General features: G+C 46.3%; 2 protein-coding genes and 2 pseudogenes across 10 annotated transcripts in view; 2 read left to right on the plus strand and 2 right to left on the minus strand.

The window, feature by feature from the left end:
- SLC4A5 (solute carrier family 4 member 5) overlaps positions 1-2,100 on the minus strand; it is a 127,175-nt gene extending 125,075 nt beyond the window's left edge. The window contains exons 1-2 of the mRNA NM_133478.3: positions 2,040-2,100; positions 1,142-1,218 (exon numbers count right to left, since the gene is read on the minus strand). The gene's annotated coding sequence lies outside the window, so the exon portion shown is untranslated. The remainder of the gene's footprint in view (positions 1-1,141; positions 1,219-2,039) is intronic.
- Positions 8,753-9,693, plus strand: NECAP1P2 (NECAP endocytosis associated 1 pseudogene 2; annotated as a pseudogene).
- Positions 9,770-10,103, plus strand: TAF13P2 (TATA-box binding protein associated factor 13 pseudogene 2; annotated as a pseudogene).
- The window catches only part of DCTN1 (dynactin subunit 1), a 30,712-nt gene continuing 23,604 nt past the window's right edge, over positions 19,839-26,946 (minus strand). For 5 of the 9 annotated variants that reach the window (NM_001378992.1, NM_001378991.1, NM_001190837.2 and 2 more), the window contains 16 exons: positions 26,655-26,815; positions 26,380-26,548; positions 26,036-26,104; positions 25,729-25,791; positions 25,467-25,616; positions 25,143-25,304; positions 24,928-25,059; positions 24,577-24,702; positions 24,199-24,341; positions 23,759-23,925; positions 22,298-22,312; positions 21,978-22,111; positions 21,678-21,861; positions 21,334-21,413; positions 20,736-20,825; positions 19,839-20,320 (listed from right to left, as the gene is read on the minus strand). In NM_001378992.1, the coding sequence (NP_001365921.1) occupies positions 20,183-20,320; positions 20,736-20,825; positions 21,334-21,413; positions 21,678-21,861; positions 21,978-22,111; positions 22,298-22,312; positions 23,759-23,925; positions 24,199-24,341; positions 24,577-24,702; positions 24,928-25,059; positions 25,143-25,304; positions 25,467-25,616; positions 25,729-25,791; positions 26,036-26,104; positions 26,380-26,548; positions 26,655-26,815 (1,983 nt within the window). In that variant the 3' untranslated portion in view covers positions 19,839-20,182. Of the gene's footprint in view, positions 20,321-20,735; positions 20,826-21,333; positions 21,414-21,677; positions 21,862-21,977; positions 22,112-22,297; positions 22,313-23,758; positions 23,926-24,198; positions 24,342-24,576; positions 24,703-24,927; positions 25,305-25,466; positions 25,617-25,728; positions 25,792-26,035; positions 26,105-26,379; positions 26,549-26,654; positions 26,816-26,946 lie in introns of all 9 variants that reach the window. The other 4 variants (NM_001190836.2, NM_001135040.3, NM_001135041.3 and 1 more) reach the window with 2 other exon arrangements.

Genomic DNA, 26,946 nt, shown 5'->3' on the forward strand with positions numbered 1-26,946 from the left:
AAAAAAAGAGTAAATGTAAAAGAGCAGTAAGAGACAAAAATCAAGCTGCTTTCTGATTTTACCACATAAGTCATGTTTGTTCAATGGAACAGTGCACATTAGCTTTAATTGTTAATTAACACGCATCTGTTAAATAACCTTGTATCTGACTTTGGATTTTAAGCTTTCTGAGGGCAAGGACCATGTGCTGTTTAACCCCACACTGTTCCCACAGCCTGGCAAAGTGCCTCAAATTTACACAGGGGGCACTGAGATGGCTGCTGAGTGAATTGCTGACCAAGAGGGACTGCCCCACATCAGGCAGCCCATGCCATTACTGTGCTCACACTGTGCCCGACACAGAGCAAGGGATCATAAGTCCTGGGTGGCTTGAATTGACTCTTCCTAAAAAAAGAGTCTGTGATCTAGGAAGTCCAATATAAAAAGATGTTGCGGATTGCCCAGACTTAGAGTAAGAGGGGCAGAAATGAAGTAGGCATGGATGGTAATTTTGTTTTTCCATCAGGGCTGCTCTTACTCTGGAGTAAGGAGAGGAAGGCTAAGACACAAAAGGGGGACTCCGCCCAACCCAGCTTATGTCCTGTGATACCAGAAGGGAGCATTGCAATGACCTATTAAACCTCAAACCAAGCTGAATCCATTTCTGAGTAAGAGACTCTTACAGGGCTCCTGTCCTCAAAACTATATAAAATTGCTCAAATTATGTACTTCTGAGATAATAAATTAGCAGAAGAAGCACATAGCCCACCTCTTAAGATAGGGAAGTAGATCTGAAGTAGCTCAAGAAACAAAGTTTTCTACAGATGAAGGATGAGGGAAGGAAACCCAAGACCAGTTGATTCTGGTTTGGGAAATGATAACACTGGAGAACACACTCTACTATCTGTTTCTTGTGACATCCTTTGTGCTAAAGTTATCTCCTTTGTTGGCATGGCCACCATCCCTACTTCTAGTGCAGTGGAGATGTATGAGTGTCTCCATTGCTAAGTGTTTAGTTACTCAAGATAAACTTGACTGGAGAGGGTGTGGGCAGGCATTCAGTCAAGCAACAAGCCACTCACTGAGTGCCACCAATGGTGTGGGAAAAGATGACTCTCCTTAGACTGGTCCATCCAAAATAAAGGAGGTGGGGAGAGCATACCTGGGTGGTCTTCAGGGTACTCCTGGAAACATCCATCAGCTCATGAGCTCACAGCTGAATTCCAAATCCTGGGATGCCTGCTTGGAGGGAGGGTAAAACACCATTTCTCAGGGACAGAAGCCCACAAAGCTAAGGGCACTGGGTTTCTAAGTCAGGATTTCATCACGGCTGGATGACCCTTTTTTAAGGAAAGCCAGCTGATCTCCAGGACTCCTGATACATAAGAGCTATGCAGTCTGTCACTTCTAGGGAGAGAGATGGGGACTAGCTCTGGTTCCTCATGCGTTCCTTCCCTCTCACTCCCTAAAGACCTCAAGAAACAGATCCTTGGTAACAATGCCTTCTTTGGGCCAGAAAGCTTAGTTGAAGTGTGGATTCTTATACAAGTCTCATGTTTTCTGGACTCCTAGGAGACTCAGAGGAGACACCATAGGTAACCCTTATTGAACTGGAAGAAGTGTGAAGTACTATCAACCACTGAGACTCCCATGGCTCAAGAATATGCACAGAGGTCTAACTAGATATAGGTCTCAGCCCCTGACTTTAGAAGTCTGACATTCCACAGATATGCACACACTACACGCTCCCCTCACAGAGGAAACTGGAGTAGGGGGACACAGCAGAACAAAATCGCAACACTACTACAGGAAAACCTCGTCATTCCGTTACTTGTCCTTTGCTATGTTGGAATACTTATAGATTAGTTTCAACAATCAGGTTACTCCTTATCTTTGCTCTAAGTCTTGTACAGGCCTTTAGCAAAAAGCAATAAAATTCTCATCTGACTCTTGGTGGGCTGGGGAATCTGCCTATTCTATTCAGTTGGTTCACTCACATCTCCAAACCAGAACCTACAACCACTCTGTAACTTTATTTATGTAAAATCCACTCTACTTACCCCAGTGCAGTGGCCTGTGGCTCCTGGGCCCTGACTCCAATTCCTTTAGGGTGGACCTTGCAGTTGGAACCATCCACCTCTCGTTTTTTCTATCTCTGCTATTAACATAGCCCCTCCTCTATTGCCTCACCAACTATTTTCAAACCAAAAAGTCTTTGTCTATTCATAGCCACTGTAAAAGTAACATTCATTTTTCTGTTTTTTAATCTAATGTCTGCGTCTTCAGTGGTTCTCACTGGCTAATCTAATCAGTGTGTTCTAGGGAGGTTTATTCCTTGCCTGTTCAGCTTGTCCCAGCACAACAAAGGTAAGTCATTTGCCTGGGGAGAATCAGCTCTTTTAAATCAGACAATCCTCAGGAAAGATGTCAGGACTTTTGCCTCTTTTCTTCATGGGACTGAGATTCAGGAGAACATTCCACATTCCACTGCCACACAGCTCTGCAAACCCCAAATCCTGACTCTCCGAAGAAGGATATGGGCAAGGAAAACAAAGAAGGCATTTGAAAAAACCAAACCTTGCAAGAAAAACTTTGCGTACTTGGTGATTTTTCCAGGTTTATCCTGACTTTTGGCCTCTGTTTTTATGAATTCCATTTTTGTTTAAGTGAAAAAGATACGGTGAGAGAGACATAGTGGAAAATGGGAAGTTTGGAGGAAGATGGGAAGGAAGAAGCCAGTGAGTAGGAAGTGAGAATCGGGAGTGGAGGGAGTGAGGGACGCGGTGCTGAGCGATGGGGAAGAGAAGCATGCCAGGAAGGCGCAGCGTCTCTGGGCACCCAGCATGGGGCCTGGTATATGCACACATTTCCCCTCATTGAACTCTCAACAGTCCAGTGGGGAGAGCATTCTCGTCCCCAACCTTACAGAGCTGGAACAGAAGCTCAGAGACTTACAGACAGGAAGAAAAGTAGGAGCTGGAAGCCCCATTAAAAAAGCAACTCTACCCCTCTTCTTCCAGTCTCTTCTGTGGCTTCTCTAAGGGTCTTCAGCCTCCTTATTTCAGGGTTGACCTTCTCTTTCAGATAGGAAATTTATCATCTGGTTGGATATCCTCACTTTCTTCCTAGATCACGTGGAGTTTTCCCTTAGTGGAAAAGCCTCATTCCTGGATCTAGAGCCTGCTGGTGGCAGACATGTAAAAAACATGTTTCGGAGGCCATGCCCAAGCCAACACATTAACCCAACATTATAGTTTCTGTTAATAATCCATGGAATCAAAGACAGGCAAGACTAGGGAGATCAACACATGCTGGGTCACCAGAGGCTTTCCTGGTTTTAGCACAGAAGATCTGTGACCCAGGAAACCCCTTAGTCCCAGGAAGATCAGCACAGCCTAGGCCAGAAACAGTTTCGGGCCTTAGGGAATTTCCAGCTGGTTGGGGATTCAACAAATTCAGAAGAGTGTGAGGCTCCAAAAAGAAGCACAAAGGGAGGGAAGGGTTCAGTGAAAGAAAAATCACCCTTGTTTGGAGGATTACCTTGTTCCACAAATGTTCATGGCTTACCTACCAGCCCCATGTGTTAAAGAAAAGCTTTGTGGAGAAAATGGCCTTGGAGATGCAGTGAAGGGATAGGATAGGGGTAGGATTTAGAACAGTAGAACTACCAAGGGGTATCTGAGGCAGAGGGAAGAAGCCACAAAAAATATAGACATAAGAGGTGGGAGAACATAGCATAAATATCCTGAGAACTGGAGAGCAGTTTCCCTGGCACAGGGCAGGTTTGGGGAAATAAAGCTTTGGGCATGCGACGATAGGCTGGGTAGTCTATGGAGAGGTGTAAACATCAGCAAACATGTCTGAAGTGAAAGGAATGTGGAAGGGGACTTGGTACAAGAATGGAATAATGGACTTCACAGTGGATTGTAGCACAGGTGGAAAGACCAGTTGAGACGTTACTGCCAAGCATTCAAGTGAAACCCTTTGGTTTCTACCTACCCAGGTTTTGTTCAAATAATTTGGACATTTATTTCAGACACTTCAGGTTTGGGGTTTTTTTGTCTCTCACTTCACACAGGAATTTGAGGGTGAGCTTCATCTGGTTTGGTGAGGGTATTGGAAGGTATGGGGCAGGGGCTGTCCCTCCAGGATGCACAAAGGGAACAGGTTTGCAGGCTCAGGAATCCTCCTAATGGAGGAAGGAGGAAGGAGGGAGGAGGACCTGCCCTGGCAGCACCGTGCTTTCTTCCTCGTGTCTAGTGTCCACTGGGATTTGGCTGCTGCACTGCTTGTCTCCCTGTCCAGACCTAATGCCTCGTTAGCTGTTAACCAAAGCATGTTCCTTACTTATTTGAGAGGCTTTCTACCTTGCCAGAGAAAGACAGCCATTTGAATGTTCTCTGTGAGAAAAGGGAAAGGCAGTGTGGCGGTGTGAGACCACAGCCTGAAGTCCCCGACTGCCACCACCTGCCACAATATCCTGCTGCCACTCCCCAGCTCTGCTGTCTCTAAGCCTCAGTTTCCCACATGAACCAGGCGACTAAAGTGGGGATGGCAGATTTTCTCTCAGAAGGGAAAAGTGCTAGGCGTCAGGTCCAAAGAAGTATACTGTAAACCCCTCCTCGTATTCCAGCACTGCTTTGGAATGCTTTTTTTTTTTTTTTTTTTTTGCTTTGGATATTTTTCCTTTTTACTTTTTTTTTTTCAAGTTCTCTCATGAGGTTGCATACTTTACTTTTTTTCATTTAAAAAATGTAGTTCCAGTTGGACTTAGGGAGGAAAGAGAAGTAAATGTTAACAGTTCACTTTACAATCTTGAACGAATTTTTTACTTAAGGTTGATTTAACTTGGTAAGTGTATTTTTTGTGAATTTCCTATTCATATCTATGTTTCTATTGATGTGTTTCTTTTTTCTATTTATTTATTTATTTATTTATTTTTGAGATGGAGTCTCACTCTATCACCCAGGCTGGAGTGCACTGGCCACCATCTCAGCTCACTGTAACCTCTGCCTCTCAGGTTCAAGTGATTCTCATGCCTCAGCCTCCCAGGTAGCTGGGATTACAGGCATGCGCCACCATGTCAGGCTAATTTTTGTATTTTTAATAGAGATGGGGTTTCGCCATGTTGGCCAGGCTGGTCTCAAACTTCTGGCCTCAAGTGATCCACCTGCCTCAGCCTCCCAAAGTGCTGGAATTACAGGCATGAGCCACCACTCCCAGCTTCTTTTTCCTATTTATTTGTAAAAGTTACTTATTTATGTTATAAATATTTTTCTTTTTCTTTGTTTTTAGAGAAAGGGTCTTGCTCTGTCACCCAGGCTGGAACGCAGTGGCGCGATCACAGCTCACTAAAACCTCAAACTCCTAGGCTCAAGAAATCCTCCCGCCTCGGCCTCCCAATTATAGATATTTTTCTGTTTGTCATTTGTCATTCAATTTTGTTTGCAGTCTTTTTCTTTTTCTTACAGGAAGGTTTAATACGATGTGTGTGTGTGTGTATTTTAATAAAGTCAAATTTATCCATATTATTCTTTAAGGTTTCTAGTTTTGTTGTCAATCTTAGAAAAGTTTTAGCCATCCCCAACTTTATATACAAAATAAATTTTCTTTATATAGAAAATCTGTATGTTCTAAATTTTCTTCTAGTTCTTTTCCGGTATTGCTTTGTATATTTAAATATTCAATCCATCTGGACTTTGGTATATGGTGTAATATGAGGATTTAACTTGTTTTTCCCAAGTGTTAAATCACCATTTGTAAAATTATGTACCCTGTACCCACCATCCTACACCCTCCTTCCCAAAGGGGCAGACTGAAATCCAGCCGAGGGGACCCATCCTGCTTGATCACATACTGATGTTTCTATGTGCTTGAGTCTGTTCTCAGCCAACCAACCTGATAGTAGGCCCCGTGCCCAGTTTCCCTTTCTTACCACTCACTCATCCCTCAAACCACTGTGTTCTGATTTCTGCTCCTTACTGGTCACAGACATTTCTGTGGCAAAGCTCATCATCAAACTTCTAATTGCCAAGTGGACAATTAGACAGTGGACACTTTTCAGATCTTTGCTTGATAGACCTCTCTATTACATCTGGTGTTATTGACAATTCTTTCCTCTTTTTTTTTTCCTGTTTGTTTTGCTTGGTATATTTTACAACTTGTGGGCCATTCAGTATGTGCATATTTATCTTTGTTAAATACGGCCACATTGTTTTCCAGAGTGGCTGTAGCACTTCACACACCTACTAGCAGTGTGTGTGTCTAACTGGATTATTTAAGGATAAGAGTTGGGAGATCTGGGATGCTCTGGTTTTCTGCCCCCAGGGATGTGCTCACTGTCCCCTTTGTGCTGTCACCCTACAGATCTCTCTCCTGTGAGCTTGAGTCCTGCTGCTGGCCTAAGTCAACCCCACCACTATCACTACCAACTGCCAACACAAACCAAGAGACAGCTTTAAAGACTAACCTTCCCAAAACCCTGTTTTTGCATTTTGTTCCCTGTTCCAGAATTGCCAGTAGCTTCCCAATGCAGTCAAATACAGTCTGAACTCCTTGGATTGGCACTAATGGTGTTCTCCTGCCTGGCTTTCTCATTCCTTGCCAGCCTTATTTCTCTCCCTGCTACACCCTCCTCCCCAAAGGGGCAGACTGGAATCCCGCCAAGGGGACCTATCCTGCTGATGAGGCTGTAAACCAGTACAGCCACTCTGCAAAAACAATGTGGCAATATTTAATAAAGATGAAAATACTCATAAGGAATGACGAAGCAATTTAACTCCTTACAGAAACTTTTGCATATGCGTGCCAAAGCACATGAACAAGGGAGGATATTTATATAGCATGGTTTGGAGGTACCTGAACTCGGAAGCAACCCAAATGTCCACTGGTAGTGGAATGGGTATGTTCTGGTCTCTTCACCCTTCTTCACTCCCCTTGCCTCCTCACTGAACTTACACAGCATGTTAATTTTTCAGATAACATGTCTTCATTTAAAACAGGAGCCCAACTACCTACTTTCCAAAATAGAGAGCATTTTTTTTCCACTGAAAAATGAATTTCCAATATCACTATGTTAATATGTATAAAAACTGGACAGGTGCAGTGGCTCACGCCTGTAATCCCAGCACTTTGGGAGGCCAAGGCGGGTGGATCACAAGGTCAGGAGTTCAAGATCAGTCTGGCCAACATAGTGAAACCCCATCTCTACTAAAAATACAAAAAATTAGCCGGGGGTGGTGGTTGTGAGCCTGTAACCCAGCTACTTGGGAGGCTGAGGCAGGAGAATCACCTGAACCTGGGAGGCGGAGGTTGCAGTGAGCCGAGATTGCGTCATTGCACTCCAGCCTAGGCGACAGTGCGAGATTCTGTCTCAAAAAAAAAAAAGTATAAAAATTTTGTAAAATGGTGTGGTCATGTTTTATCATTTGTTAATCTAAGTGTTTCTTTTTGCGTTTTTAAAAATTCACTTCTTAAAATGTGTGTTTACATTTTTTTAAATTTAAATATATATCTAGGTTTTCAGTTCTATGTTGTCAAATGCATAGTCTATCCTTTGCTTTTTGCTTTTTACAAAGGAATACCAAGATGAGTTACAAGTGATTTATCTCAGATTTTGTTCACTGAGGCTTAGAGTTTACTCCATGAGTTCATGAGGGTTCAGTTCCACCTATTGTTCCTTGCTCAATTGTTTGAGTAGGTCCTGATTACCTGCCAGATGGCCAGTCCTGGGCTGATCTTTTCTACAAAGATCAGAAGGGTCTCTTCTGGCAAGGCAAGCCTGGCTTGTACTCTCTGTGGAAACTTAACTAGCCATGGCTGCAGCTAGAGGGCCCAGCCAAGGATCTTTCCAAATCAAGTGTCTTTGGCTGTCAAATATGTAGGTAACTAAAACTCCAATCTCTGAGGGAGGACAGTCTGCCCTATCTGAATTCCCTTGTCTTCTAGAAAGGGTCAAATAGTAGTCTAAGCACTCAGGGAGAGTGAACACTTTTCTCCTTGTGTCTCTGTCAAGGGCAGGGAACACTAAACCATTAGTAATAACGTAGTCTTTAAAGTACATTAAATCAGCTAAGTTAACTGTTTAACCATAAGTTCAACACTCCTTTTTTTTTCTTTTTTGCATTCCATCTGTTATGCAAAAACCCCAATTTTTGATTGATATGAAATGAAAACATAGAAATAACAGGCATGCCATACCATCAAGAGACCAACCACTACCTCATCCAATATTTCACCCCTCTCCACTCCAATTGTTTTGATCTCTTTCAATGGGTGACTTCACAGAATTGAGATGCTAGGTCTCACCAAGATGGTGACTTTTATGGCCAGCTTCTCTGGGATGAGTAGGAATTACCATTTCCTACAATTCCCAGATGATGCTGATGCTGTTAGTCAGAAAATCACTGCTCTAAACCCAACTAATAATTTACAGAAAATGGAGAAGACAGAGGAACTTATTAACACCATGAGGATGCATTTTAAGAAAATCCAGATTCTGAGAAATAGTTCTTTCAACAAATAAATTATAAGGAAAAATCAAGCAAGAACGAACCTAGACTGCCTGTGAATGGCCACTGCATTCCAGCCTTGGCAACATAGCAAAGCCCTTCTCTGAAAGAGAGAAAGAGATGATGATGAGAAGGAGGAGGAGATGTTTCTAAGCAAGAGACTGGACTGGAGGCCTCAATTTACTCCCAACGTCATCTGGAGGTCACAAAGGGCAGAGAGCCAAGATGGCAGCCCAAGGCACGGTACAAGCCTATCTTAGCTGGTGTCAATGTCTACTAGATTCTGCCCCAGGCCTCCAACAATGGCTACAGGCTGGAATGTGGACCAGCCTGCTTAGTCTTCAAAAGGGAAGACTGCCTATGTCAACTCAAGTATAAAATATCAGGAGAGCTCTTTGCTCGGGCACCAGTAGAACAATACGCTGACACTGCTGAGACAGTGAAAGATTACAGCTTCTACTTTGTAATGTGGTTCTAGGATGACACTGAGCAGGTATAGTGCTTTCATCGGCATTGGCTTCACAGATGAGGGTGATGCCTTTGACTTTGATAACTTCTGAAAAAGCACCTTAAATGGATAAAACAGGTATCTGAGATGGCCAAAGGATCTCTTGAAATGAACACTCATCCCAGGTTGGATCTGGGCTTTAAGGAAAGACAGACCATCAAGTTGAGTAATGGGAACATTACAACCAAGGAATGATGAGCTTCAGCCAGGTGCAGTGGCACGCACCTGTAGTCCCAGCTGAGGGCTGAGGCAGGAGGACCACTTGAGCCCAGAAGTTGGGGACTGTAGTGTGCTATAACCATGCCTGTGAATGGCCACTGTACTCCAGCCTTGGCAACACAGCGAGGCCCTTCTCTAAAAGAGAGAAAGAGATGATGATGATGATGATGATAATGAGGAGGAGGAGGAGATGTTTCTAAGCTCAGGACTGCAAGAGACTGGACTGGAGGCCTCAATTTACTCCCAACCCCATCTGGAAGCAAGTTACTCTTCCCCTCCATCCTCCAAGGATGTTGCCTCACCAGCTGTTCCAATTCTAACCATGGAGGGAGTGATGCAGATATCCTTTTAGGCTGTGATTCTTCTGCTCCTGTCATGACACCAGCACCAGCTGCAGTCTCTGTGAGCAACGACTTGGAGAGACTTTATAACCATTCTGTCCCAAACCTGGCATCAGAGCCATCCAACTGACTCCAGATCTGAATAGTACTGGCAAGACATCAAGGACAGACTTGAACAACAAAAATGACCTTGAGAAAATGGGGTAGAAAATCACGTCTCTGAGGAAGAAAATGAAGAAGGAGCAAAGAGCAGATCTTGTAAAAGAAAGACTGTTTCCTAAAGAATTATGATGTCTGATATATGGGTTTGGGGATTATCAGAACCCTTACACTGAGCCAATGGATATTCCTGAAGATCTTTTTATAGAGTTCATCAATGAAATTATGAACTTCCAACGCCAGTTAGAAGATCAGATCAAGTACAAGTTGATGATACTGTCTTCTTAATTAGAAAGGACCCAAGAAAGTTTGCTAGAGTTAAAAGACTTGGTTACTATGAATGAATAATTGAAATGAGCTAGAAAAGCATCTGACAGAGTCAACTATGATTTTGACACCTTTTGTACGTTCTGAAGCTCCATTATTTTCTGGGACAACCATATATAGTAACTAAATATTTCTACAGTAAGGTCCCGATATCTAACCATGTAAATGAAAGATGAAGAAACAAAGTTTTCATATTTTCAATTTTAGAATGAGACTTTAACGCCTGTATTTATATTACCATACTTGAATTATTCAGTTTTAATGACCACATGTAAAGGACCTTGCAAACTGTGCAGTTCCTTCTTTTTACTACCTAAATGATGAAACAACACAATATTTTTGTTGAGTGTTTGTGCCGCTGTAAGCTACACTACAGCTGTTTAATATGTGAAATCCAGATAGGACCTTTGACTCACCATAGCTGAGACACAGCTCTGTCATGTATTCTTTAGTTTCTAGACAGTATCAGACAAATTATTAAAGATAGTGAGCTGTTTTATGTTTCTCTTAAGTAGATATAGGAAAAGTCTCTTTTAAGAATGTTTGTATTAAAAGGTAATTTGTTTTAATATCCTTTTTTTCAGATAGCAAGTGATTTTTTGGAGAAACTAAGTTTCATGTGAAGGCTTCAGTGTTGGAAGGCTTTTCCTTTTTTTTTTTTTTTTTTCTGAGACAGAGTCTCGCTCTGTCACCCAGTCTGGAGTGCAGTGGTGCGATCTTGGCTCGCTGCAAGCTCCACCTCCCAGGTTCATGCCATTCTTCTGCCTCAGCCTCTGAAGTAGCTGGGACTACAGGCGCCCGCCACCACACCCAGCTTATTTTTTGTCTTTTTAGTAGAGATGGGGTTTCACCGTGTTAGCCAGGATGGTTTCGATCTCCTGATCTTGTGATCCACCCACCTCAGCCTCCCAAAGTGCTGGGATTACAGGCGTGAGCCACCACACCTGGCCTGGAAGACTTTTTATTTTTATTTATTTTTTGAAAGAGTCTCATTCTGTCACCCAGACTGGAGTGCAGTGGTGGGATCTCAGCTCACTGCAACCTCCGCCACCTGGGCTCAAGCAATTCTCCAGCCTCGGCCTCTCAAGTAGCTGGGACTACAGGAACATCCCACCACACCCAACTACTTTTTGTATTCTTTTGTAGAGATGGGGTTTCGCCATGTTGCCCAGGTTGGTCTTGTCTCAAACTCATTGACTCAAGTGAGCTGCCTGCCTTGGTCTCCCAAAGTGCTGGGATTACAGGCGTGAGCTATTGTGCCCAGCCTTTGGAAGGCTTTTTAAATTTAAAAGCTTTGAGGTTTATCCATACTATTTGTCAAGTTTTTGGAGAATTTGTTTTCACAGATCAAAGCTTCTAAAAATGCTTTTAGTAGTAGTTGGAATGGTGTTGCTTTAAAAGTTGGTGACAGAACAAGTATTTGGTGTTAAACAAACAAGTATTGTTTTATTAACGTATTTGTTAGTACTATTCATTATGAAAATGAATCCTTATCTAAAACCATATGTGGCTATGGAAACCACTTTTGTAGTTCAGAATATACAGATTTTGTGTGCATTTAGCTATGTTACATAAAATCATCACTGCACTTAGCTTATAAGGATTGAACTTGCATTTAAAGGGATCAATCAATGCTACTGTTTGTGAAACAGAAAGTTTTGTGTGCCACTTATAAACATTATCTATAAATCAGTACTTGGGAAAATTCTACTTTTTTTTTTTTTTTTTGAGACAGGGTCTCGCCCTTTCGTCCAGGCTGGAGCGCAGTGGCGCGATCTCGGCTCACTGCAAGCTCTACCTCCCAGGTTCACGCCATTCTCCTGCCTCCGCCTCCCGAGTAGCTGGGACTGACAGGCACCCGCCACCATGTCGGGCTAATTTTTTTGTATTGTTAGTAGAGACAAGGTTTCACCGCGTTAGCCAGGATGGTCTCAATCTCCTGACCTCGTGATCTGTCTGCCTCGGGCTCCCAAAGGGCTGGGATTACAGGCGTGAGCCACCGCGCCTGGCCAGTACTTGGGAAAATTCTACTTTCTTAACCTATTGATACCAGGAATAATTTCTGAAAAACTAAACAGAAATAAAATGACCTTGGGAGCAGGAATCTTTAAGAGGCTAGAAACTCCTTCCCTTCCCAGAACTACAATTACTAAACAACCTTTTTCTTAGCTTCCCCATTATATTCAAGCTGGTTTATGTCATTCCCCTTTGCAGTTACTTGCTGTGCAGCCAAGAGTGTCTGCCATCTCCTGCTCACTAACAAGCCAGGAACTAATGGGTCTTACCATACCTGCGGCTATGAGGAAATGACCCCTAACATTGTAAAATTTTTCTCCACCTTTTAAATTCCATAACTTACTTCAGTCATCTCATGGCTCTCATGTACCCTTTGTGAAGTCCTATTTAGCAATTTCAGGGGACAAAAACACAAAACAAAACAAAAAAACCCTTGCTACTTCCTACTCCATTAAACCAATTCTCTGAAAATGGATACACTTGCCTTCAGTGTTTATAGATCCAAAATTTTGATGGGTATGGAGAAATATCTCTTATATACCCTTCTTCACCACATCCAGTGCTGAGTGCAGCTCCACTACCCTCGTGTGTTTACATGTCTCTTCCTATGATACAAAGGTGTTGGTAGCACCTCCATTCTTTTGTTTGTCAAAAAGTGCAACATCTTCAGCCAGTGGGTATGGCTTAGATGAAGGAAGTTCAAGGGGATGTTCTAAGTTATATTCTAGAAGTGTTTTTTTTCTCCATCCAGCTGCTGCAACTGATGGAAGGCTTTGCTTTGTATTTGCCCCATTATTAAATCTAAAATAAAAAAGTTTAGAATTTAACCTGATTTGTGGAGCAGAGAGGTTGCAAGCACTTAACTCTCATTCAGTATCCATGTTGACTTGCTGCCTGGGTATCTGTCTGGCCACATTTAATAGACACGTTTTTTCAATCCATTAGCACCTCAGTAAAAATCTGCTACATCTTTCATCATTTGTAATGATGGAGAGTCACAGCTTCAGCCATTTGACAGGTTTCCCAAAGTGAAGGCTTTGATATCCATCACCTAGAGCAGTGGTCCCCAACCTTTTTGGCACCAGGGACTGATCATGGAAGACAATTTTCCCATGGAATGGGGAGGAGGGGGAGGATGGTTTTGAAACGAAACTGTTCTACCTCAGACCACCAGGTATTAGTTAGATCCTCATAAGGAGCCCACAAGATCCCTTGCATTGCAGTTCACAATAGGGTTCACACTTCTATGAGAATCTAATGCTGCTGCTGATCTGACAGGAGGCAGAGCTCAGGCGGTAATGCTCCCTTGCCCGTTGCTCACCTCCTGCTGTGCGGCCAAGTTCCTAACAGGCCATGCACCCAGTACTAGTCCATAGCCAGGGACTGGGGACCCCTGACCTAGAGTACCTCAAAGCAAGTGACCCTCTCACTACTTTCCCTCTGCCCTGCTTTTTCTTATACATTGCTTGAAGAGAGCTCCCTTTTCTAGGTCAATGGGCATTACCTATTTGGTTTGTTAAGGGCAATCTGAGGAAGAAATAAGATGATACAACTTCTCTCCTTAGCACCTGTTTGCATGCTTACACTCTGAATGAAGAAATTTTATTTTTTTTATTTTTATTTTTTTTTTGAGATGGAGTCTCGCTTTGTCACCCAGGCTGGAGTGCAGTGGTGCGATCTCGACTCACTGCAACCTCCACCTTCCGGGTTCAAGTGATTCTCCTGCCTCAGCCTCCTGAGTAACTGAGATTACAGGCGTACGCCACCGCGCCCAGCTAATTTTTGTATTTTTAGTAGAGACAGGGTTTCACCATGTTGGTCGGGCTGGTCTCAAACTCCTGACCTCGTGATCCACCCACCTCGGCCTCCCAAAGGGTTGGGATTACAGGCATGAGCCACGACGCCTGGCCAGGAAATTCTATTTAGTTTCAAAATATATTCTCTCTTCTTGACTTACATCTTTTCATCTTTTCCTAACTTTGAATCCATTTTTTTTTTCATTGCACTCCCATTCCAGACAGTTCTATTCTTGCACAGCCATGGCAGGACATCTTTAAATTTTGATAGAAAATACTAAAAGGAAAATCTCTATAATCCCAGTGACTAAGTACTGGGAGCCTATGTTCTCAATCTTCCTCCATATTGTGTTATTTGCATTATCAAGGTGATAATGTTATGTATTTGAATAAGAAGAACGTATATAAAGCAAACACTGTATTAGTAAAATAATTAGAAAATAGGGGGAAGCAGACTCAAAAGACATCTATTTGTAGTGTATTGTCTTTGTCTTAAATCTCATCCAAATAAACATACTGTAAAACAAAACAAAATGTTTATAAGACAACCAAGGTAACTTGAATGCTGGATAGCTGATGAATTAACTTTTCAGGTGTGATAATGGTATTGTAGTTTTCTTTTTTGAAGAGCTGTATCTTTCAGGGATACTAAAATACTTTTGGATGAAATAATAAGGTGATAAGATGTCTGAGATTTGCTTCAAAACATTCTGGGAGAAGAAGGGGGAGGAAAGGGGATATAGACGAAACAAGATGAACCATGAAATGAACATATATTGTATGTGTAAGTCATTACACTCTCCTCTCATTTGTATGTTAAAATTTTCCATAATAAAAAGTAACAAAACAGAGGGTGAGAGACATCTATTTACACTGGTACCCGTTATTTGAGCAAGAGTCCAATTCCCACATCCAAACTCCCCAGCCTTCGGAAAAGGAATGTAGGCCAAACGTCCCAGGCTGCCCCTCTGAGGACCTCTGTCCCTGGGAGTAGCAATACCTGTTTCGGGTGGCACGGATGATAGAGATGGAGGGAGGCTAGATGAATGGTCATGCTACCCATACACATAGAAAAGCTGGCTACATGAAACAATAACCACAGAGAAGCAGGAGGGACCACTCACCCTCAGACTTAAGTGTTCTCCAGGTGCCCTGGGCCTATACTTGACAGGGGCCAAGGTCACCTGTGCTATAAAACTTCCAGAGTACCTGGGCTATAGAGCATACTTGTTCCTAATTCACTTTTTGCCTCATGGCTGTGTAGGGTAGACTCAGCTCTGGGGCCTTGTACATCCTTGTACATTCCCTAGGATTACCCAGCAGCCTATTTGGGTCTTTGTGTTGCCCCACCCCTGCTCCCCACTGAGGCAGAGCACTGAAAATGTGAACCAAACAGGTGAATGCAAATTGTGGGAGTGGGGTGAGGGACGTGCCACCACATTTAGACTCTCTCTCTCAGCCTTGGCCTGCTAAAAGGAGGAGAAAACAGTGCCTGGATGGTAGAAAATAAGACAGTAGCTGCCCACAGAAACAAGCTGAAAGCTGGGGCACTAAGGGCTACCTATCCTTCTTCTTCTTTTTTTTTTTTTTTTGAGACGGAGTCTCACTCAGTCGCCAGGCTGGAGTGCAGTGGCGTGATCTCAGCTCACTGCAACCTCCGCCTCCTGGGGTTCAAGTGATTCTCCTGCCTCAGCCTCCCGAGTAGCTGGGACTACAGGCACGCGCCACAACACCCAGCTAATTTTTGTATTTTAGTAGAGATGGGGTTTCACCATGTTGGCCAGGATGGTCTCGATCTCTTGACCTCGTGATCCGCCCACCTCAGCCTCCCAAAATGCTGGGATTACAGGCGTGAGCCACCGCGCCTGGCCAGGGCTACCAATCCTTTGGGGCTCAAAAGATGGTTATGTGTGTCACAGTGTACATCTTGGGAATGTGCTTCTATTTTGTTTCCTTTTCATTTGTTTAGTATCAGCCTCTTCCAGGTATCCTTTTTTAAATACCTGTATCAAGCATGCTATGTTATTTAATTTTCTCCCTGAAGATTACCTAAGAATATCACCTGAGGAAGGTGCTATTGGCCTATTACAAATACAGAAACTGAAGCTGAAAGGTTAAGCACCTTCCCCACGTTCAGACAGCTCAATAGCGGAAGAGATGGAATATAAGCCCTATTCTTATTTCACAAAGCTGCCTCCATGCTGGGGCAGGTAACGTTAACCCTAGGAAACTGCCCAAAACCCACCAAAAGAGAGAAGCTCCTAGGGAACAGAGTTGAGAATGTTCATACCCTGCCCCTGCCAACTGCCGGTCTGCTTGGTTTTGTCACACTGGCATTTCTGGCTTTGGATGAATCAAAGGTGGCTGTTACTATGCTATACTCCATCCTTGGTACACAGAGCACCTCGCCAGGCCTCTCCCCCACCATCACATCCCCAGTTTCCAGAAATCATTCCCCTGGTCATCTGCCTGGCTATCCATTCTCCACAATCCCCATGAATGGATGCTACCCAGGACACACAGTGAGCATGAGCTGCTGTCTCCCCTTTCTTGCCACCACAACCCAGTTTGTTTCCTCTATTCCATGGAGACTGCCCTGGCCAGCTCATCAGGCATCTCTGAATCACAATGGCCACTTCCCAGAACTTGATTGCCCTCTGAGCTGCTCAATCTCTCTCCTCCCTTGGCTCTGTGACAATGCTTTCTACAGGGGCCCTATGCTTGCAGTGGATGCCCCTTCAGGCTGCAGGCTCTTTAACTCTCAGGGCTTCCCAGGGCTCTACCTTCCCTTCCCTCTGAATACTCTCCTGAGGTAACTTGCTGCTTCAGATTCTCTCAGCCTCACCTGACTCCCACGTCTCCAGCTGCTTGCTCTGTGCTGACTAACTCCCACAGGCCGGTGACCACATTCTGTTCCCCTTGCCATTGCAGGACTTAGATTAAATGCCATGCCGCAAGGCATGGGATCTGGCTTTCGCAGTGGCCAAGAAATATCATCCCAGCAAGAAAGTGGGGAGCTAACACTGGCTCCATGGCAAACTTTGAGCAGTAAAGCATGGGCAGGAAGCAGAACAGGTGAATTTCCCCTCCATCAATCCAAATACAATGTTCTAGCCAGTCATGGTGTTTCTGTGTAGTCTATCCAGAGACATCCAACATGGGCAAGTGACTAGCTGTCTTTGTGAGGCAGGAGCCAACTCACTAACACCAACCTTTGATTTTCTTTTCCTCCTTTCCCTCACTCTCGCTGCTCTGAGACTTCACCCTCCAATAAAGTGCTAACACTAGCTTTGCCTCAGATTCGGTTTTCTTAGTAACTTGAATACAGACAGTAACCTCACCCAAACCATGCCTTCAACCACCATTGATACACTCCCAACTCACTCCCCAAACTTTTCCTATCTTCAATCTGGACATCCCTGCTGAGCTCCAGACCCAGCAGGTTCCAACTGCCAAAGGGACATCTCTGCTTGTACATTCTCACAAGCACCTCAAACTCATGTCCAAAATAAAAGTCATCTTCCTCCTCCTCAAATACGTGCCCTTTACTTGTATTTGGCAGGATGCAGAGATGGAAGACACCCTAAAGGAACTCCTGTCTGAAGTGGGAGAGGAGTTAACTAACACTTAAAATAGAAACAGATGCTTACTGGCATAAAGTAGCGTAGTAGGAGCACATACTGGAGAAGAGAAGCAAGGCTACTGTGTGCCAGCACAGTGCTTGATGCTTGCATGCACTATCTCATTTGACCTTCATAACAACCCTGTAAGATATCATTTTTCCATTCTGCAGGTAAGAAAACAGATCAGAGATTAGAAACCTTGCCAAAGTCACAAAGCAACTAAATCCAAGCACACCTGGAAAAAAGGTCGGTATCTTTTGCTGCCTCAAGAAGAGGAGCACCTAACAGGCCATAGGGATTGGAAATTTCCTGAGATGGCATTGCCAGAGCTATCTTAATAAATGGACAGGATGTCAGCTGAGGAATGGGGATGGGGCGAGGGCAGGGAGGTAGAGTGGAGGGAAGGAGGTAGATGGCATTCTGGGTGGTGGGAAGAGGCCTAAGAGAGCACCGGGTGGCAAGCAAACTGCAGGGGTTCACTAAAGCTGAACCACCTGGCACATCGGGAGAGGCTGGAGAGGCGGACAGGACCCAAATCATTGATGGTCTCATGTGCCATTCTAGTGAGTTTAAATTTTAAAATCTAGACACATAGAGGAACCATTTCAGGATCTTATGTAAATTTTAAATCTAGTTGAAGAAATCATTTCAGGATTTAAACTGGGGAGTGACATGGCCCAGTATGCATTTTGGAAAGGTCCCTCATATCGATGTGTAGAACTGGTTGAAGAAAGGCAATGGAGGTAGGGTAACCAGTTTAAAAACTGCTGAAGTGCCCAGAGCAAGAAGTTATTTATAGACAAAGTTCGTGGATGTAAAAAAAGTGGAAAAATTTGAGAGACAGTAATGAAGGACAAACTGAACAGGACTGGATAACTAAATTAGCTAAAGAGATCAAAGAAGGAGTCAAGGATATCCAGGTTTGTGGCTTGTCACATGTAGGACACAGAAGAGATGATTTCAGTTTTGGACATGCTGACTCTTAAGATACCTGTGGGGCACTCACAGGGTGATAGCCAACAAATAATTGGGTGAATGAATTCGGCATTCAAGAGAGCAGCAGTTTAAGTAGTGAGAAACTGCCACCAAGGGAAAAGGATGGAACAAAAAGCCCCATTCTCCTTTCAAAGTGCCACCAGAAGTTGCTTGGCCTCGGTGTCTTAACCACACCAATCAGAAGGCAGGTCAGCAGCTTGGGTAGAATCCAATCCCAAGGAAAGGACAGTGTGGTCTGTGATTTCCTTGCCCTAGCAGAGCCCAATTTGGAGACGTGAGGTGAAGACTCTCTGGTTCAAGACACAATAATAACCCTTCTCAACCAGTTCTGTGAGAATTAATCCCTCATATGTAATGCATTACATCCTATGCATCTGGAATGACACTGGTTGTGTACCATCATTGAGAGTATTGAAGAAAAGTCATCAAATCATTTTCTCTCGGAATCCCAGGTGAGAAGAGCCAAGGTACAGAGCAGGCATTCAAACGCCATAACCCACTGACCTCCCAGACAGTATAGTCATTGAGAATATGGCCCCTGGACGCCCAACTTCAAGCACCCCTCCTCCTGTCTGCCCTTCCCCTCAAGACAGAAAGCAGAAGAGCAGAGGGTCTGGCCTAGTTTAGGCCTAGCACTCTGCAGGGTCAAGGGTCTCTTTCTGCATCTAGATCAGAGCCTTTTGGGAGTCTGAACTGGACTTCTCTCCCCAAGAGGGAAAAAAAGAGAATATAAAGGAGCTAGCCAACTAATCTAAACTGGGGCTAATATCTACAATGCTGGGGTGCTGTTTACCAGCCTAATGAGTCCCAACTCTGCAAGTATTTTCAGTAGGTCTGGGTCAAGACCAGAAATCTGTTACATTTTAAAAGAAACTCCCCAGGTGATACTAATTTATGGTGGGGTTTGGGAGTAGCTTTTGTACCTCCTATCCTTTACTAGTATGCCACTTTAGTTTTCCCTTATTTAGTAAATATTCCCTCTGAGAGACCCCAGGTCTTATGGGAAGACTGGCCAGTACATCAGAAAATTGGCTGGGGTGGTGATCATATCATTACTCCAGCTCCAAAAATTGGACTAAAGAGCAGTGGAAGCTACAGGAAGCAGAGGCAGGGTTGGCAGAGGCTACACCCTCCCAGCCCTCCTGACTCCATAAATGAACTTAGGTACCTAGTCCTAAGTCTAGCCCTTTCCTCCTTGGTTAGAGTAACTTACTGCACATGAATTTTAGAAACAGCATTCTTCTGGTCACTACGAAGAGGAGACCTCAAATTTGATACAGCCAAAGCTTCCTCAGCATCGCTTCTCCTCCACTCCTGCTGTGAGCTTAATGGCCCAAGTCCCACTCTCAACACCACACAGGAAGCACTGAAGCAGAAGTTGCTTTAATCAAGGGGTGAAGTCCTCAATCAAGGGGACCTCACTTAACCTTTGGTGGTGGGGTCTCAGCCTACCCCCCACAAGCCCTGAGGCCCCTCAGGAAGGAGGGAGCAGTTGAACAACAAATTATGGCAGAGGCCAGGGAATGGGAGTGGGGGAACCCGGGTCAAGGTGAAGGGGCAGGACGCTGAAAGGGTGGGAGTGAAGCTGAACGGGGCAGGAAGAGCTTAACCCACGTTTCTACCTGGGGGCTGGCTGAGGTGGCTGTGCATCGGGCAGAGCGGCACCAGAGGGCTGAGGGTCGAAGGGGACAGCAGGGGAAAGGAGTGCTTAGGAGATGAGGCGACTGTGAAGCTGGTGCAGCTGCTCCTGGGTCAGCACCAGCCGGTGTCGCTGTCCAAAACCAGCCGCACATGAGAAGGTCACTTTGCCCATGTAGACTGTGTCATCCTGCTGCTCCTCCTTGGCCTGGTGGTTGATGAGGAGAAAAAGACTCCAGGTCAGGGGCTCACTTGAGCTGTGGGCCACTGAAGGGGTCCCTGAGCACTGAGACCAAGGCAGCTCCTGGGTGACTAGGGCTTCTGAGATCCTGGGCTATTGTGACCACATTTTTCAAATAAGAATGGGGATACATAATCTGACAAGGGAGTTTTGAGGCCCTCCTGGTGTCAAAAGTCACGGAAGGTGTTTAGGTGCTAAAATATTGGAATTTCAAAGCACTGTAAGCACTTCTGAGTTACTTGTAAGTAAAATTTGGCCAGATAACCCAAGGTATGCAGTTGTTAGACCTGAGACTCCAAAGGCCTCCTCCAATTCTGGAGGAGAGGGGGGCCCGCCTGAGCTCTCCACACTGTCCCATCCTCCACCCCATGCTCCCCCTCACCCTGAGGAAGGCTGATGAAGGGAAGGTGGCAAAGTCAGTGGGTACTGTGGCTCCAGGGCGCTGAGATACTGTCTCCTTGAGGACCTCATCCTAGGGAAGGGGAGAGGAAGACAAGGGTTCATTTATGGGACCCCCACAGGCTAGCACAAGACCACGTGGTTTCACAGAGACACTAATACCAGGGGGGCAGGGACTTAGTCCTCTATATCAACATACTTTTGCTCTCATCTCCAACCCCATCCCCACACCAGCACTCCTCCTTACTTTGCAAGTCCTCATCCTGTAAGGCCCAACTCACATTCTACCGCTCTTGGGAAGCCATGCCCAACCGTTCTACCCCACAATGATCTCAGCGCTGATGGAAGCTAAAGCCTGAACCAGTCACTCTAAAGATTACCCTAGCTTATCCATTTTGTTATGAGAATCTGTCTTCTGTTTGCACTGAGACAGTGAGCTTCCAAGGCAAGAACCCTGCCTTCCCTTCCATCTCCTCCCCAATTGCTGTCTAGCACAGGGCTGGGCTCAGAGGAACTCCACAAGTGCCTGGCTCCACCAGTTTATGCTGTGAAGTGAGCTCTGCCTGGCAAACTGAGCTGACCTTGAGCTTCTCGACGGTGTCACTCAGGGACTTAAGCTGAGCCACTTGCTCCATAAGTTGGGCCGACGGGCTCTTGGCAGCTGTGGGGAGAGAAAGCTGGTGAGGCCCACCAAGGCGCAGGCAGGCAGTTCTACTGGATTAAGGGTTAGGGGTGCAGGTATAAGACTCTCTAACAGAACAAGTACTTGAGAGAGAGTGGGTGAATCAAACAAACTGAACAGTGAAGCCAAAGAACACTGCTGGGAAGAGCTTCTGTGGTGGGGGAACCACCTGAGCAGGGGCTAAATCCCTGGGCCAAGTGGAGGGGGCAGTTTTATTCATCTTGGGGGTTGGCAGGTACATACCAGGGCTGGTGCGAGTGATGTCTACTACGTGCGTGTGTGTGCTCAATTGATTCAATGTCTCCAGCAGCTGGCTGGTCTTACGATACAGCGCTCCAGCTGGTAACTCACTGCCAGGGCCCTCATGGGATAGCTTTGCAACATGCAGAGGGGGCAGGGATGCCAAGGATGCCTTCATCTGGGCTCCCTGTGGATGAAAAAAGAAGGATAGTGGTAAGAGGTGCTAGGAGGCCCCTGTCATCTATCATCAATGGGGCAAATATGCTCCATCTCCCATCCCAGTCCTCCCCGTGGCTCCCTCACCTTGAGGATGCTGTTCTCATGCTGGAGCTGGGAGATGTGCAGCCTCATGGCAGAGATCTGCTGAAGCAGCAGTGGTGAGTCCTTCACCAGCCCTGGGCCTGGCACAGACCCTGGAGCCTGCCCAGGGATGGCTCCTGTGGGGACCATAAAAAATCTCATCAGCCCCAAGTGGAAAGGGTTGAAAATTGGGCTCCATTCCTACTCTTCCCCTTTCCTCATCCCCCCATCACCCATCTCCAGTCCTGGCTTCCCCCTCCACCCTGCTCCCTTAGCTCCAACTCCCACCAGCCTGGTAACCCCCGGCCAGAGTGGGTCTCTACCTCGCTGCTGTTCTTCTGTGCTCGGGATAGCCCATGGGGGAGCAGGAAAAGAGGAGAGAGGAGTTAGGTGATTTGGGGGTTACGGGGACACACCAGAGGAATCCTGGACACAACCTGCAGGAAAACCCTTTTCCTAATCATCATACTTTCTCTAACAAGACTCTCTGCCACCTATCTTTGGGGACGAGCAGATAAGTGTTAAAGAAAGACACCAAACAGGAGTGAGGCCACAAGACAGGGTACAATGTGTGAAGAACAGTGGCAAAGAGAGTGTGCACTGTACAAAGTACTTGGAACATGAGGCTGTTCCTGCCTCCCTGTCTCAGATGCCATCTCCAAGAAGGGCACGGAGAATGCTCCAGAGACCCCAATATGTCTGCACCCTTAGTGCTCACCAGCAGCAAAGCTTAAGTTGGGGATGCAAACACACTCCCTTGCTCCTAAGGATTCCCCATTGCTCTGAGGCAAAAGACCTTCTTTTTTGGTGGGAAGTTTCATAAATTCAGAACTATGTTTGTTTAAAGAGTGCTAATGTTTGTTTCAAGAGTGCTAAAAACAACACAAAGTAGTAATCCTGGAAACTCTCTCCAAAGAACACAGAGCTGTCTGTACCACAAGAGCCTAAAGTCAAGAAGGTACTTGGTCACCTCCCAAGATCAAGGGGTGTCAGTAACAGAGACTTTGTCAAAGACTCTATGTAGGTGAGGTCAGCTGACAAGACTCAGGAGCAGCTGGGAAAGTCTGGAGGCCCTAAGGGTTTAATTCCAGGGCAAAAAGCCTGTCTTCTGGAGGTGAGAAGGTTAAGTGAGAAACTGGAGAGTAAACAAAACAAACTATAGGGCAGAGGAGAACAAAGACAGCAGCAGCCACCTCCTGAGTCAGGTAACTGGGGAGGCTAGAACTGGTAACCAGAAAAACTCTAGGTGAGGAGCCCTGACTATACTGAGTGACTAGACAAAGGTCAAAACACAAGCCCCAAGTGAAACTGGGATAATTCAGCAGTGGAAGATATGACCACATCATAAAATGAAGCCACATGAACTCAGTGAGAAAACACAGTGTCCAAGCAGAGAAGCAATCAAGAGCAGGTATCGGGCAGGGCTGGATGCCCCAGGAGAGTCAGCCCAGCCTGCTGCTGGCTGACAACCCTCTGGGATATAGGGCTGGGCAGAAAGGTCAGATTACAGAGCCAGAAAGGACATCTACTAGAGACCAACTGTCATCATTATTCTGAGCCTCATTAACAATTTAGTAATGCCCTCCTTTGCCCAGAGAAACTCAGCACACATCTTCAGCGGAAGGGAAAACTTGGTGAAAACTGGCACAGAGTGAAACTGTGTAAGCATGTTCCTGGCTGAATACCCGGGGGTAAGGGGGGTGGGGCAGAGGTCAAAATGAGGCCAAGGACAGGAGAGAAGACAATCTCCTCTGTGCTAGTGCTGCCTATTCCACAGTACTCACCACCAGCAATGCCAGAGACCAGAGTAGCAATGCCTGAAGGAGGAGGGCCCCGGAGTCCCTCAATCGTGCGTTTGGACTGGCTGTTCAGACGCTGCTTTAGTTCTGCCTTCTCTGCCTCCAGCTGGTCGATGTCAGCCTGGAGTGCATCCATTGTCTCCTCAAACTCTCTGTGAAAGAGAATCTGGGCTTTGGCAGTGTCCCTTCTCTAAAGCACTCCTTGACTATTCAGTCCTGAGAGGTCCTTGGAATAGCCCTGCCAGTGAGAAGCCAGGGCAGAGCAGCACAGGCTTAGGCTGGGGTGATGCAATGGGGTTGGCAGTGGGTAAAGAAAATGGGGAGTCTCACTATAAGAGAACCTGAGTAGGGGTATGGGTTAGGAGGCAGAGAGCTCCAGCAGTGGGAGGATTAGAGGAAGCAAGGCCCCAGGGAAAGTGCCTGACTTCTCCTTCTTTCGCAGCAGTGCCTGGGTCTCCTCCAGCCGAGTCTGGACTTTCTCGATGCGCTCATCTGCATCCTTGGCAGCACTGTCCAACTTCTTCTCCAGGAGGCTCAGCCGCACATTGGCCTCACTTAGCTCCTCTCCCTGGACAAGGACAGAACTTCTAGATCCCTGACATCCTCCCCACAGTCCCTGGAAACTGGGGGCTAGACCATGAGATAGTAGGTTCCCTGAGGGCTCACCACAGCTCCCATTGATTGCAGGCCCCACTTCTCCCCTTAACTCCCAAGCCGTCTTGGTCCCGATCCCCAACACTCACTGCTTTCCTGAGTCCTACCAATTTCCTGGCCCCCAGATCCTGAGCCTACACTACCCTCACCTTAATCTTGAGTGACTTCTTCAACTCCTTAATAACTGTCTCTCGATCTTCGAGCTTCAAACCCAGGCCTTCAGCATCTGTGATCTCTGCACGAAGGGCAGCAGCCCGCAGTTCAACCGGTGGAGGCTAAGGAATGGTCGGTAGGGGGTGAGAAAGTGAGGGTGGAGAGAAGAGATCATCACTGTGCTCCTTACAGAGAGATCCAGTTACAGGGAAAACCCTGCCTTCTAGGCAGGATGGTGCTCTCCAGATGCCTTCCTCCTGTCTCCCCGTCCTCCCACAACTAGCAGTAGCTCTGCAAGTCTTACTCCTACAGGCCTCTGCAACTTCTCCAAGGAAATCTCCACCTACCTTGCTGGGGGGCCGCTCTGCATCATACTCCCCCTCCTGCATGGCTGTGGCCAGCTTGTTCATGGTACTGATGAGGATGTTGCATGACTGGCGCAGACACTCATAGGGGCTGCTGGAGGGGGTCCCATAGATCTGCAGGAGCCAAGGGCAGAAGTAAAAGCCCCACACTGGTCACTAACTCTCCCCACACCTTCTACCCAGCCATCCAGGCCCACCTGCTCGCTTGCTTTGAAAGCCAGTTCCTCCAGAGCAGCCACAAGTAGCCCCTCATTCTCTGCCAGTGGGGCAATGAGCTGGGCAGCAGCAGCTGCCACCTCCTGCAGCACAGCCACGACCCACGTCAAGTGTTTCCTGCAGTCTAGGAGCGTGTCAGATACCTGTGTGCCAGGCCAGAGTCAGGAGTCAACCCTGGGTTCAGCACCACAGTTTCCAGCTACCCCAAAACCATTTTTGTCCCCTAACCAGATCCAGATCTTCAAGTGCTATACCCTTCATGTTTCTACTCAGTTTCCTTCCCTTCCCCAGTTGCAGCCTTAAACCTGTGGTCCAAAGGCCAGTGCAGCTGGGATCCCAGGAGCATCTGTCCCTGGCATTCGCCTTCGGATCTTCTTGCAGAACTGGCGGATGTCACTGCATGAAGTTTCCAGATCCCGGAGCAGGAGGGCAATATCTGTAGCCTCCTGCCCACCCTACTCAGGAAAAAGAAAATGGATGGAGAACCAAGTTAGCATTAAGGCTCGGAGTAAGGAAGTGAGGACTAAGAAAGAAGAGGAGCTCACACAGATCTAGATGTGTTCTCACCTGCAAGAAGGCACGCAGCCGTCCTACCTCCACACTCATGCAGTCCAGAGCACTCTGCGTGAACTGTGAGGATAGAAGCATGCAATCATCAGCCCCCAGCAGGAGCCCTTCTGCCTTATCAACATCTCTAAGAAGTCCCCATCCTCTGCTGACCCCCATACATAAGTAGGTCCTCTAGTTTCCCTGATATGGCTTTGGTAACTCTGCCCTAGTCTTATGTGACACTTCTTGGGTGCCTGATCTCTTGACCTGATGCCCTCCATTTCTGATCTCCACGGGGGCTCAATCACTGGCCCAGATACTTCACCTTAATGTGGTCAGCCAGCTGCATAGTACAGTCCTCAGGCTGTTCGGCAAGGTGGATGCTGTACAGATGCTGAGGAGAGATAACAGACAGACAACTTTTAGGCCCTGGAGCGGGTGGGGAGTTCTTCCCAAACTGTAGTTTGAGCCCTGGTCATCATGGGTCTCTGGAGGTACAAGAGAATCCAAAGCCCTCAAGCAGCTGCATCATATGGAGAGTTCATCTAAGAGCAAACCAGGCCTCAAGCAGCAAGCATGGGACATACAACCTTGAATATATTAGTAAGAGCCCCCATCAAGTGAAAGCTTCCCTGCCTCCTGCCCCAAGCCCAAATTCTTGCCCCACACCTGATAGTACTTGATGGCCTTGGTGAGAGGCTCCACATTGACAGTCTCATCCAGCTGATCCTTGTGCAGCAGTTCAATGAGGAAATCCAAGGAGCGCTCATGGGCACTCATCTCAGGGTACAGGCTGCCCACTTTCTTATACACATCCACACTGCACTGAGAGAGGGCACTAGAGACCAGAGAAGGGCACTGTGAGGCTAGAGTCTGCCAGGCAATCTCAGTTCTGGCCAATCCTGGACCCCCACCCTGGGGTGAGGGAGTCAGGAGTCACTTACTGCTCATAGCGGTGTAGCGTGGCCTGCAGCAGGCTCAGCGAGTACACCAGTCCAGCAGCAAAGCTGAGTTGCTCCCCAGCAGCTCCTCGCAGCCCAGGCCGCTCTGAACAGTTCTCACTTAGTTCAAACTTCTCCTGGGCCTGCTTCCGGATCAGCTCTGCCTGTGGGAAAAAGCACCAGGAACCTGGGCCTCAGAGCAGAGGATGGAGAACAGAGACTCAGGAATATAGTACTCAGAGCTTAACTATGTGGGGAGCATGGACACACATGGGAGAGAAAGCAGAAATAGCTC

This window comes from Homo sapiens, chromosome 2 (assembly GCF_000001405.40).
Source record: "Homo sapiens chromosome 2, GRCh38.p14 Primary Assembly".
Classification (NCBI taxonomy): Eukaryota; Metazoa; Chordata; class Mammalia; order Primates; family Hominidae; genus Homo; species Homo sapiens.